Below are 13,081 nucleotides of genomic sequence, written 5' to 3'. Positions count from 1 at the left end.
GCAAGGCCCTGAGCTACCTGTGATGGGGCTGTTGTTAGCATCCCCGGGGATCCAGGTCAGCCGCACGCTCCTCTCGGCCAGGTCGGTCAGCTCCAGGTCCCGGGGCCGGTCTGGCCGTCCTGGTGGCAGAAGACACCACGCAGGCCTCCTGAGTTAGAGCAGGTCCACCCTTGTGATGGCCCTAGCCCTGGACAGCTCCCTGACGGGCTGTCTTCGCTACCAGCTGGATCCAACCCCAGCCTGCCCTGAGGGGTGAGCACAGGGACCACTCCCTTCCCACAGGGGCCCAAGGGAAAACAAAGAGGAGACTCCTGAAATCCCAGCCCCCCCCCACAAAGAATATCAATGGGTGTGGAACAAGGAAATAAAGGGGCTTATGCAGACAGAACTGGGACCAACGCCATTCCGTCTTGGTGGATCTTCTGAGAGTGCAAGCATTCAGGAATGCCACCCGTCATCAGACCCATGCTCACGACACTTAGGAAGGCTGATGAGGGAGTGTGGGATTCTGTCCCATTTTCTCACATTAATTGTCCTCTACTTTGTGTGCCAAGGCTCTGAGGAGATGGGAACCCAGGAGAGGGCTTGGCCTGCTGAACATGGCAGATGGGTTAGGGGAGTGGGGGCAACAAAGAGAGGGGATCAGACCAGGGAGGAGATGGAGACTTGGCTTAGGCATTTCATTGATGGACAGCAGGACAGAAGCCTAGCAGGCTTGCAAACAGGGGTGAGGGCAGCACCTTTTTTAGGGCATGAATCTCACTGGGACTGCTTTAGTGGGTCTAAGTGCCATCCTGGCCTGGGATAAAGACATCGGCTACTGAGTGGTACGGGTAGGCAAGATTTTCTCTCCATCTTGACTCCCTGAACCAGGTATTTCCATCTTTCAGATGGTCACTAGAAGGACTTGGAAGGTGAGTCCTACAGGCCCACGTTCACGTATGTGTGGCATGTGTGTGTAGATTGTAAATGGATAGAAAGCAATAGATGCAGGGAGGCTGAACAATGAGTTTCCAGGTGATGTGAAGGGAGCAGGCTTTCGCATTCCCTGCAAACAGGACCTGAAAGACTGCTGGGAGGACAGGCCACCCTGAGGGAGCGGTGAGTGTGGATGGAGGCAAGGGATGGGGTAAAACAGCAGCCGAGAACTTCCGAGCTCACCCTGTAAGGAGCAGGAAGCCCAGCAAAGGGCCGTGGGGAGGTGGACGTGGGCAACTCAAAGGAGGTCCCATGTAGCCAGGAGTGCTGCCCACAAACCTACACACTGTCGCCCTTTCCCAAAGTGGCTTCCTTCTCCCAGACTCCACACCCTGGGTGCCAAGAGAGGGCACTGGCAGGGGACTGTGATTAGTGGGAATTACCTTTGGGCAGGGCAGCCAAACGGTTAGTTGGAGTGGCCTGATCAGCTGCAAAGGTAAGACGGGTTATCCAGGTTAGCAGGTTATCCAGCATTAAAGGTGTTCTAGAAGGATGGGGGTAGGCAGCCGAGGCTTAAACAGCTGCCTCTGGGCTGAGGTGTTCTAGGCAGGGCTGTCCCCGTCCTTCCATGGGGAATCCCCTACCCTTATAGAGGCCATCTGTGTTTCCTCCACAGCTGGGGGCGGCACCTCTGTTTCCTTACCATCCCAATGTGACTATCGTGTCTGGGCCCACCCTCTCTGCAACTGTGCCTCTCCACTGCGCCAATGCTAGTGGCAGTAGGGCACCCACGGGGAGGCAGAGGTGACAGAGGACCTGCTTGCCTGGAAGGGAGAGGCCTCCTTCCTCTTGGTTTGGGTTAGCTTAGTATTTACAGTCCAGCCTGGGTGCAGGACAGGAAGACACAACGTCATCTTGCTTAGTGCATAGCATGTGATGAAACGCTACCAAAACCCAGGGATGGAGCGGGAGGGAAAGGAAGGCTGGCAGAGGTCATTGGAAGCACAAACACAAACTCAGTCTTGCTTTAAGGATGGATTGTTTTAATTGACTTAGTGGTGGAGTTAGCTGTAAGAAAGGTAAAATGATCACAACGAGAAACCCCTCTCCACTTTCTCTATATCACTCAGGCCCCTTTCAGTTGAGACGTGGGGAAGTTAATGACTCCACTCAGGAGGTAACCTGTCCAGCACAGCTTGTTCTGAAACTGGCAGCTCCCTAACCCTGACATCACGAGGCAAGAAGAGATCACCACGCCTGACCCGGCCACTTGACTGCAGGCACTGCCCTCGGAACTGCCCCGGGCCACTGCTTCTCTGGCTGCTGGGGAGGGGGTGGGGCTGGTCAGTGCCAGGGTGAGCATGGGCAGTTACCTAGCACGGTGAGGTAGGCCTTGGCCAGGTCTTGGTCTAGCTCGGTGCTGGCGACACACGTGTAACTGCCCTGGTCCCGCTCTGCCACCCCAAAGATGGTCAGGGAGTCGTCTTCCTTCTTCATCCTGCAAAGGTACCGAGGAAGGGTTGGGAGGAGGGGGTAGGGGAGTGCTGAGTCCTGCCCATTGCTTTCTCCCTAGAGGGGGTTCTCGAGTCAGGAGGGCAAGGGAAGCTCCTTCTGGGGGTATGAGGCTCCCTCTCAATGCTTTGACAGAGGTGAGGTCTTCACAGTCACCTGGAGCACTCATCATACTTGATGGAGGGGAACAGAGAGTGGGCGGAGCTCAAGTGGCTGTGAAGCACGTTTGCCACCTTCAAATTCTGTACGTGTGCCTGCCTCTGTGCCTTTACTGTGCTGTGCACCCCTCCCAGATGAGGGCACCATGAGGCCCATGACCCCAAGGTAGGTTGGTATTCCTTCTCCTCTCATACTTGTAGCTTTGTCTGTCTTCAGCCCAGACTTGTCTCCTCTGCACCCATGCTCAGGCCAGCCTGACCCCAGGCTCCTGGGAACTGTCTCCTATAGAGAGGGGAGGCCACAGAGCAGAATGGGGCTGTAGAGCTGTCAGCACTGAGTGCCAGAAGGTTTACAGAGGGGAACACCCTCTGCAAAAAGTCAAATGATGGCTAGAAACCGCTGGTACCGTGTCCAACTGCAGGGCCCTGCACAACTTTGCTCCCTCGGGGTGGAAGAAGGTAAAGCAAAGTAAGCCCTGGGGAGGGAGGCTCGGAACAGTGGTTCTCAACCCTGATGCACACTGGAACCCCCAGGGGGACTTTTAAACCCTGCCAGTGTCCTAAGTCCTACCCTACACCAATGAAATCAGGGTCTGAGGAGCGGGGCAGGCGTGGGTGTGGTAAAAGCATGCCAGGTTCAGTCAGGGCTGAGAGCTGGCTCAGATCAACCCTGCCCTCTGCTGAAGATTAGGGGTACTGCAAATAGGGCTGAAAGGCTGGAGCCTGGGATGCAGCAAAGGAGGAAAAGAGAAGACAGGGGCAAAAATGAAAGGGAAAAGAGGCGAAGTGAGGGGAGACAGGGAGAGGAGAAGTGAAGAGATTGAGAAGAGGGAGAGAGAGGAGGTGTAGGAGAGAGAAGCAGGGAGCTGGTGGGAGAGAGGGAGGTTGTACAGGGTCGGTGGGGGGGTCTCCCCTGAAGCAGGGGAGTTGCCCAGGCCATCACCCCCTCTGCAGAAGCTCCTTGGTGACATGCATGACACGGGTTCCCTGTCCCTGTGTTCTTCCATGTGTCACCAACAGCAAGGGAAAAGAAAATGCGCCTCAAACTAGCACTAGGAAGGGGGAAGGGGGAAGAGAAACCTGTTTCCAATATAGAGCGGCTCGTCATCCTTCAGCCAGGAGACGGTGAGTTTCAGGGAGGGGTCGTGCTTCACCCGACACTCCAGCTGCACCGTGGTGCCCCTTCTGGCCACCTGGTCCTCGGGCATCCGGTAGATCCTGGTGGGGTCTGTGGAGAAGCCCAGAGCACTCGCCACTGGCCTGTTCTCTGCCCAGCATCCCCATGCGGCCACAAAGTGGCATATGTCTGCCCTCGAGGCCTTGGGCCAACTATGGAGTGGGGCACAAACAGTATGCTATGGTATGAACGGAGCAGAGTTCTGGGTGGGTAATCCCCAAAGCAGATAATGCCCCAAATCCACTCCATCTGGCTCAGGAATATATGATGTAATTTCTGGGCTGGTAGTGGGGAGTTGGTGTGAGCAGAAGGTTTCCCTTCCTAATTCTCTTTGGACCACACTGATCCTAAAAGGACTCCACAGGTGCAAACTGGGCAGCCCACTCCAGGTTAAAGACAGGTGTGGTGCATTTTCAATGTGAATATTGTATGTGGATAACTGCCAGCATGGCCTCCTTGTCCCTCTCCAAACTCCCACTGGCGAACCCTCTCCTTTACCTTTGACCTCCAGGCGGACTTGGTTTTCAGCTTTGCCCAGGATGTTGGTGGCGACACAGGTGTAGATGCCCTGGTCCTCTTTGCGGATCATCTTAATTTCCAGACTGCCGTTCTCATAAACATGGTAGTTGCCACCATCCAGGTTGCTTCCTTGCCCATTCTTAAACCTCACAACAGAGCAGCAGAACACACAGCATCCTGAGACAGGACCAGCCCAAGGGCAGGGGCAGCAGCCAATCAAGAGAGACCATGGGGGCTGTGGAAGGAGCCCCATGCTAGGAGACTGGAGCCCTGAGCCTCGGAGGGTCTGCCTCTAGCCACCAGGTGGCCCTGGCAAGCCTCCATCCCTCTCAAGGTCTTGGTTTCCCATTCTGTACAATGAGGAGGTTGATCCAGATGATCTGCTAACTTCCTCCCAGCTTTGACCCTTTAAGATTCCCAGGTCTTGCTGAACACCTACTATGGGCCAGATGGGAAGGAGAAGATGAGACAGGTGACCCCTGCTGTGGAAGGCCTGATCTCCTGGAACTTACCATCGCAGTGTGGGGATGGGAGACCCAAAGAAAGGGCAGTCCAGCCGCGTCCGGTTGTAAAGAATCACTCGAATGAGCTGGTTCCGGGGCGACAGCATCCGAGGCGGCACATCTGAAATTCCCAGAGAAGCAATCTCGAGTGCCAAGTCTAAACTCTTCCATCTCTTCCCCCTCGGTCTCACCTCTGCATGCCTTCTGCTTACAGCAGCTTCCCAGGCACTGAGACACCTTCCCCTATCAACCTTCCCTCCTTCAGGAAGCCCCTAAGGATTAGGTGGGGAAGGAGAAGCTTACTACGTCCTCTGCCCTCAACCTACCCTACATCCAAATCCAGCTTTTGCAAAGGGTCTCCCCAAATTATCCAGCAGGTTCCATAGCTGCCCCATCACAGCCCTAAGGCATTTCCTAGCTACCCCTCCACCACCATCTCCCTGCCCAGCGGGTACAGCAAATATACTCAGAACCATTTCCCACCGTGAGATCCAGCTGCGAACCCAGGGGAAGTCAACATGGATACACCAAGGCGATGGGACAGTCCCACTCTATCTCATCAGGGGAGGGAGAAGACTAAGATTGACTGCTCTGATGGAATTAACTGTCTGCTCATCCAGCTTTGTGAATTTTAAGTCTTCCATCTGTACAATGAGGAGGTTGATCCAGATGATCTGCTAACTTCCTCCCAGCTTTGACCCTTCCATCCCTCTCACAAATTTTTTCCCATCTCCATGTTTCCCCTATCCAACATCCTCTTACCTCACCCAGCTTGGCCAATCCCCGGAGAAGAAAGTGTGCCCCACGACATAACCAAGCCCCAGGGCGACTGTGCAGTAGTGGAGAGGAGGGGGAAACAGGCTGCGAAGGGCACACTCACCCAGCACACTGACAAAGGCGTTGGCCAGCAGGTAGCCATGCTCGTTGGAGGTGTTGCACTGGTACACAGCCCTGCTGCTGATCTGGGTGTCCCGGAAGATGATGGTGTCTCCGGCCACCTCACGGTTTGGGTTAGGTGGTGCCGCTACAGACAAGAAAGAGACGCTCCTCATGAGAGATGGGGAGGGCAGGGTGAAGGGCACTTGGGGCTCTGGCCAGGGCTCCCAGGAACAAGCGGGGTGCTGTGGGGAGCACCAGATGGGGGGCCAGATGACAGGGCTTCTGGCCTTGCCACTGCTGGGCTGTGTGTGACCTTGAGCCCTTCTCTGAACCTTTGGGGTTTATTTCTAATCTAGCCTAGAGTATGGAATATGAATTCCTGTTCGACCTACCTACCCATTGGGCAGTTGTGGTTGAGAGCATTAGCTTTGGAAACAGAAAGGAGTTTTGGTTCTAACCACATCACTTCCTACCAGCATCATTCAATCTCTGTGAGCTTCAGTTTCCTTGTCTGCAGAATGGGAATAACAGATCACCTCATGGGGTTTTTGTGAAGATAACCTGAGATTTTATGCATGTACAAAATGATGAACAGAAGGTCTAACACATACTGTTATTATCATTTTAATCGAATGTGCATATATTTAAGTGTGTTTTGAAAAGGACAAAACAGTATACAATAGACAGAACCTACCACCTTCCCATCCTCCAAAGAGAGCATGCTCCAAACATTCATAAAGTTAAACCCATAAGCCAATGCCTCTTGAAAATGGAATGAGTCATTTTATTTGACAAAGCTCACAGCTCTTCCCCAAAAATGTGTCCTAAACTGAGAGAGGATATTCTTGCCCACAGTTCTAGTACTGCTGGCTTGGGATGCAGAGAGCAGAGGCTGGAGAGGGCTGGGGGTCCACACTTCACTCTGGGATCTGGGGTAAATCAACAAACCTTTCTGGGCCTCATTTCCTTCTTCTGTAAGATGGGGAAGAATCACTTCCACCTTTCCCCTACTCTAAGAAAGGCTAAGATAAGAGAACAATAATGAGCTGTAAAAACAAAAATTTTCTAGAAATGTAAAGAATTGCCACTTTTCTCATCTTTAACCACTAGAAAGTGACTTTCCTTCCTAAGATTTCTGGACTAGGAAGCTGATGACTTAGCTTACAGAGTACATGAACGCATTCAAGATGACTCAGACCTACAGGGGAAGTCAGCGGAGGATGCAGGAGTCGCCCTGCAGGCGCCACTCCACAGATAGCCAGCCTGAGCCCAGAACCGGGGAATCAGCAGATGGGAAAGGAAGACAAAGTTAGCACCCTTATCATCCACGCCCGGGTCCCCACTCAGTGAAAAGGGACCAAGGAAGGCAATGCCAGAAACTTGTACACCTCCTTGCCTGGCAAATTCTCGTGCAACCAATAATCCCCCCAGTCACTCTCCTTACACGTTCCCTGGGGAGAGTGACAGGTGACCTTTCCAGGGCTGAGGCTCAGCTGCAAGTCCTGAGCTGCTTTATTGAATGGTGCTGTAAAGTTTAGCGCAATTGCCTAGCTTACCCCCAAAGTCCTATTAAGACGGAGAGAACTGTAGAGGGCAGGCAGTGTCCATATCTCTGCTTGTAGCTGGGGAGTAACATTTACTGGGGATAACTAGGTTCAGTACTAGCTGGTGCAGTTGTATTGCAGACTCACAGCAACCCACAACTTCACCACTTCCTAGCCATGCGATTTTGGGCAACTCATTGCACTGAGGAGAACCTTATTTCCTTACCTTAAATGTTTGAAAGTAAAGCAACAATGGAGTGCAGCATCTAGCACAGAATGTGGCATACAATATATGTCTAAATAGGTAAATTCTTACCCTCTCCTCTACCTGTGTCCCCCCCTCTCCACCTGCTTCTACCAGCTGCTGCTCTTGAGTTAGACTGAGTTCTCGCCATCTACTTTTTCCCCATTTGGTTGATACCATTGTTTACATTTCCTCTGACCTCTTAGAGAAAGTAAGGACAGGACATTTTGAAAAGTAATGCAACCAGAGAGTCTATGATGTGAAAACTTGACCAAGGCCACTGATTATAAGGGGTCTTGGAGTCATCTACTCCATCCACCTGGGCAGGACTAAATGTCCCCAAAGTCTAAGCATACTCGATAAAGTGCACTTGTACATCTGCTCTTCTGGGGGCAGTTCTTCCTCATATCTAACCATAATATTTCACATTATTGTACAACCCTGCTTCTTCTTTTGCCCTTAGCAGAGAGCGGAACTTGAGTAACCAACAATGGGTTACTGAATTCTCCTCTACCTTCCCAGCCCCAGCCATCACTCAAAGCCCAACCACCCAGAGATGCAGCCACAGTCCCCAGGCCATCAACTGGGCTCTGAAGTTGTTCAGAGGGAGAAAGCAGAGATTTAAAAAACCCCAAGGGAGCAGAAATCCCTTAAGCATGGGAATATGACCACAGAGTTCCAGGCCTCCTGTTCTCTCACACAAAGAGAGGGTAGGTTTCCTGCCTCTTGAGATGTCTGAAGAGATGGGCAGCTGAGAAACAGCCACCAGTGGGCTTCTCTCTTCCTGAACTTCTAGTGTGACCAGCACTGGCTACAGTGATGGGGATCTGAAGCCTTTGACAGCAGAGAGATGAGAGTCAGATGGGACAACAGCTCGCTACTTACATTGCAAAGGTTCCCCATTCACCATCCACTGGACAGTGGGTTTGGGGTTTCCATTGGCTCGACACACCAGTCTCCCATCCTCGCCAGGAGCCAGAATAAGGTTCTTGGGTTCGTCCAGCCAGTAGGGAGCAGCTGGAAGACAAGACAGACACAGGCAGGGGAGTTAGATGGCATGGGACAGGCAGAAGAAACCAAGCAGTCTCCCTCTAGTATGGCAGGAGCCCCTGAGTCCCAGCACCACGTGCTCACCACCTGCCCCAGGGCTCATCCTCACAGGGATAACTTGGTCCAGCCTGTTTCTGGCTGGCTTGGCTGCACAGATGCTGATCTGTCTATTTTGAGTTCACAGAACAATAGTTCTAAACTGGGGCTGCTCACTAGAATCCCCTGAAGAGCTTTTTTTAAAAAAAGGGATGTTAGGGCCTATCTCAGACCTACTAAATCAGAATCCTCACAGGAGGCCTGGGTGGCAGATGCTTTTAGAGGTCACCAGTGTTTGAGGTGTGCATCCAATGGCTCCACTGCTAGGGAAGGTGGTAAAGTGGGCACTGAGTTGGTCCCTCTGGATCTCTGTTTTGCAAGATCAGACCATTTAGGAAAAGCCTAATGAACATTTCTTTAGGCACTGAATTTTGGTTAGAGTAGTTCTTTTTTTTTTTTTTTTTTTTTTTTTGAGATGGAGTCTTGCTCTGTCGCCAGGCTGGGGCGCAGTGGCGCAATCTTGGCTCACTGCAACTTCCGCCTCCCAGGTTCAAGCAATTCTCCTGCCTCAGCTTCTTGAGTAGCTGAGATTACAGGCATGTCCCACCACGCCCAGCTAATTTTTGTATTTTTAGTAGAGATGGGGTTTCATCATTTTGGCCAGGATGGTCTCGATCTTCTGACCTCATGATCTTTCCACCTTGGCCTCCCAAAGTGCTAGGATTACAGGCATGAGCCACCACGCCCAGCTAGAGCAGTTCTCAGCTGGCCACCTTGTTCAGTTGTTTAGACAATTTTGTGAATATGTGGAAATGTGGATTTTTCTGAGAAGTGAGCCTTTCAGATCAGATTATCAACAATCTTGATACTCACCCCCTACCCCTCAAAGTCTAAGAACTCCTTAGTTTGTGTATGGTGCTGAAGCCAAGGTCACAAGATCAACTGACTGCCTGCTAAGAAAGTTTCTATACTCTGGTCTCGAACATCATTATCTCAACCATCCATACAGCCCCAGGCCAAACAGTGACCAGTGCAGCCTGCCACACACGGTGGGGACCCATGACGACACGTGCTCTGGTGCCTGCAATCACTCGGGTGGGCCCTCTTTGCTTTGGGGGGAAGGAAGTGATTTTAGAAAATAATTTTGGCCATGACCACTCCCCAGTTTTAAAAAGCAGCACAGCATCATGCATAGGTACACAGACAGCACGGGCTCACGTGACACATCACAAACGGGAATGCAAAACGAAAGGAAAAAAAGGCTCTGGGAATGATCCAAATGGGCCGTGGGAGGAAATTCACCCGCTGAGGGAGCGCTGGCACCAAGGAGAGTTGGATGATGGCCAGGGTGGATCTCCTTAACACCCCCTGCCCCATGCACGGGCATGCACACACCCTCTCACGTCCAGCGAGTGACACCATCCATGGCAGATCGCCATTGCCACTGAGCAGTGGGCTGGAAGTCTCTCCGACTCACTCTGCCCCCAACCACCCTCAGAGGGAAGGGTGGGCATGGTGTTCAGGGTTGGCAACATAATCATAATGATAAATACACACAACGTACCCTTTACTCTCACCGAGATCGTGTGCCGGATGCTGCCCATCTTGTTGGAGGCCAGGCAGAAATACTCCCCGGAGTCTTCCTCAGAGACATTTGTGATACGCAGGGCCTTATTAAAGTTCTCAAACTTGGCCTTATCAGATGGGAGGTCCCCACCTTTCTTGTACCATGCGATGTCTGGTGTTGGGCTAGGAGAGGCGCCAAGCAGGAAACAAGTTATCACTAAACGTGGCCTTTCTCCTCTTCTATACAGCTGGGGACACCCAGGTGGCCTAAAAGTATACTTGGGCCCAGGAGGATGCATGTCCTCTAAAAGCTGATCTTTCCTGTGCAGAGGAGGATGCTCAGCCACAGAGAGCCTGAAGGCTTAGCTAAGGTCCCACGAGATTCTAACGCATCTACGGGATGCCTAATCACCTTCTTTCCTCATTATCCAAAACAGAGATGGCCAGGATAGGATGGAGATGACTATGGTTTGCAACACCCTGCTCACTAGAGGCTGTTTGCTTCTCTTTTTGCTGTGCTACTGGTATGCACTAAATGTGGCATTAACAAGAGCATGAACAAGCTCCCATCCCCATCCTCCTGGAGGGTGGCTAGAAGAGGGGCTGCAAACCGCACATACACCCCGGAGGCGATGCATTCCAGCAGGAGGTCCATGCCACGAAGCACCATCTGGCTGCTCGCGGTGCCCTGGGGATACATGAAGCTTGGTGTTCTTTCTGCAACTCCTCGGGCTGAAACAGGAGAGAACAAACTCCCATGAGCCTCCTTCCAGAAGGCAGACCCCACTAGGCCAACGCTGTCAGGCTAGAGAGAAGTGGCATCACCGCCCCTGCCGGATCCTCCCAGCTGAAACCATCCCAAGGACTTGGGCATCATTAAGTGAGGTGTGTTAGGAAGCCCAGGGCTCCTCAGCCCCACCTACATGAGAGAGAGGAGCTCTAGGTTCTGAAAGGATCTGCCTGGAGGAGCCCAGCTTCCCTCAGGTTCAGGGAATCTCCCCTTCCCTGGAACGGGGAGGGGCTGTCTGAGCAGTGCGAGATCTACTCCAGAGCAGCTTGTGTTGGGATCCCAGAGGCCACTGTGTGGCCCCCAGGGCAGGCCATCTCAGCAGCGGTCCTTCTCCCCAGGCAGGGATCTGGAAGCAGAGAAGGCATGTACTGGGTCCACAGGACAGACAACCTGCTCTTTAGGACCCTGAAAACAAGGTGCTGGGATGGAGTCACAAAGCCCGCACAATCAATCAGAAATGCAGGGAGAGTTATTAATGGCTTAGCAAAGACATGGAGAGAGTTAATGAACAGAGATGACAGGAAATCACTCCGGGGCCAAGACCATTCTGCCTCCTCACTAATGACTCGGGAAGACAGCTGGGGAGGAGAGTAGTAATTACATGTGAGCTGCTCGGGGAGGGGGTGGGAGAAAAGTGGCCGCCAAGTTGGAGGAGGTGATGATCTATAATGCAACTAGGCCGGAACAGTCATGGGTCTGAAATCAATGAGATTCATGCAGGTCTTGAAGGCCAGGTGGCTCACAGAGATTGGCATTTTCAGGATGGCTGTTTCCCTGTAGAAGGGTTGTGCCAGCATGGGCCCACCCATGACAGAGTGAATTCCACCTTCCCCGAGCCTCACCTCTTCCCCCAGAGCTCTTTGTATAGCTCTAGGGGAATGGGTAAGATGGAAGGGAAAAGAACGAGAATTTTCCATCCAGAAACCCCAAGGCAAAAGGGAAACTGGAGGAAGTACCCCCTGGCCAAGGTGTACGATCGTACATAGGAATGGCTAAAAACAAAAATAGAAGCTGAGCCCACCCATGGGTTTAATGGGGTCTTAGACTCAGCAGGACAAGGGAAAGGTGGAGGGGAGGCAGAGCTGCCAGGAGCTGGGAGGCCTCAGAGACACCTGGGGTGAGGATGAAGACACTTATCCAGGGTTTAATCGGTGCTGGTAGCGTGAGGAGAGAGTGCGGGGGAACTTTATCCAGATGTAACTGGTGCTTCCTAAAGGAGCTTGCTGGGTTTGCTGGGGCCTGGCTGCACCGGCGGGGCTCCTGTTCTGGGGCACTCAACTCTCTCCCTCGGCACTGGTGGAGTGCAATTCATAGAGTTTGCTTCTATTTTATCTTTTTGTCAAAAGAAGAAAGGATGAAACATATGCAGAGGGTAACGAGGCTGATGATACAATACACGGCATACAGCAAATGCTCAATGAAGGTTTATAAGGTGAATGGATTGGAGGGGAAGAAGAGAACAAAAAATAAGGCAGCAGTTTAACCCATATTATTTCTCTTTCTGTAGATGCCTCATCTGTCCCACCAGCACACACATTACAACAGTGACTACTGAAGGGGTTAATCCATTATGTGGTTAATTGGTTATCATCTATGTCTATAACTCTTGTAGCATCCAATTCTCAGCACCAAGGAAGCCTGACACCAACAGCTTCCTCCCACCCACCATCACGGAATCACCAAAACAACCAAGACACATGGGCACTATGAGGAAAGGAGATTCTAGGGCAGAAGGCTCTGTTGTCAGGTTGGTGAATCCGTCAAGAGCTGGGAACCCTGGGATTCTGTGGAAGAGGTAGGTCCCAGCTAAGTCGTCATACTCCTTCCACACTGGGAGGAAATCTGCAGAAACCAATCTGTGACCCTATGGACGTTTAATTTACACCATAACGCGCGACACCACCAGCACGCACAACCCAGCAAAGCAATAATGATGGGAAGGAGGAAAATTTAGCACAGAGTTCTGCTGTGGGTGCCTTGACACACTGTAGCTGTGACTATAAAGAGGTTACAGCAATATTGCATTTGTAGGATGTGGGCTAGCAACAATAGAATTATCCTAAAGAAGGAGAAGCTACTGGAAACAAGCCAAAGTTCAAAAAAAGAGAAGAGCATCCTAAAAGTTGGAGGTCATAATCAGGGCCACCATTCAGTGAACGTTTGCTAGGGACCATGCACTGTGCTG

At 52.0% G+C, this 13,081-nt stretch overlaps 1 protein-coding gene across 56 annotated transcripts in view, besides 1 other annotated feature; it reads right to left on the bottom strand.

Annotated features, from left to right (window-relative positions):
* Positions 1-13,081, bottom strand: part of NFASC (neurofascin) — a 194,171-nt gene that overhangs the window by 43,736 nt on the left and 137,354 nt on the right. For 38 of the 56 annotated variants that reach the window (XM_011509316.2, NM_001378329.1, NM_001005388.3 and 35 more), the window contains 10 exons: positions 10,727-10,838; positions 10,105-10,289; positions 8,340-8,471; positions 5,668-5,811; positions 4,797-4,908; positions 4,264-4,430; positions 3,669-3,816; positions 2,292-2,416; positions 1,362-1,406; positions 18-119 (listed from right to left, as the gene is read on the bottom strand). In XM_011509316.2, coding sequence (XP_011507618.2) covers positions 18-119; positions 1,362-1,406; positions 2,292-2,416; positions 3,669-3,816; positions 4,264-4,430; positions 4,797-4,908; positions 5,668-5,811; positions 8,340-8,471; positions 10,105-10,289; positions 10,727-10,838 — 1,272 coding nt within the window. Of the gene's footprint in view, positions 1-17; positions 120-1,361; positions 1,407-1,940; positions 2,417-3,668; positions 3,817-4,263; positions 4,431-4,796; positions 4,909-5,667; positions 5,812-8,339; positions 8,472-10,104; positions 10,290-10,726; positions 10,839-13,081 lie in introns of those variants that run through there. The other 18 variants (NM_001160332.2, NM_015090.4, NM_001365986.1 and 15 more) reach the window with 3 other exon arrangements.
* Positions 3,239-3,358: a silencer, noted in NCBI's record as "silent region_1732". NCBI's record gives its function as "represses an Ori minimal core promoter by ATAC-STARR-seq in GM12878 lymphoblastoid cells {active_cell/tissue: GM12878}" and the evidence as "EXISTENCE:reporter gene assay evidence [ECO:0000049][PMID:35858748]".

This window comes from Homo sapiens, chromosome 1, assembly GCF_000001405.40.
Source record: "Homo sapiens chromosome 1, GRCh38.p14 Primary Assembly".
Lineage (NCBI taxonomy): Eukaryota > Metazoa > Chordata > Mammalia > Primates > Hominidae > Homo > Homo sapiens.
This window is presented reverse-complemented; position numbering and strand designations above follow the sequence as displayed.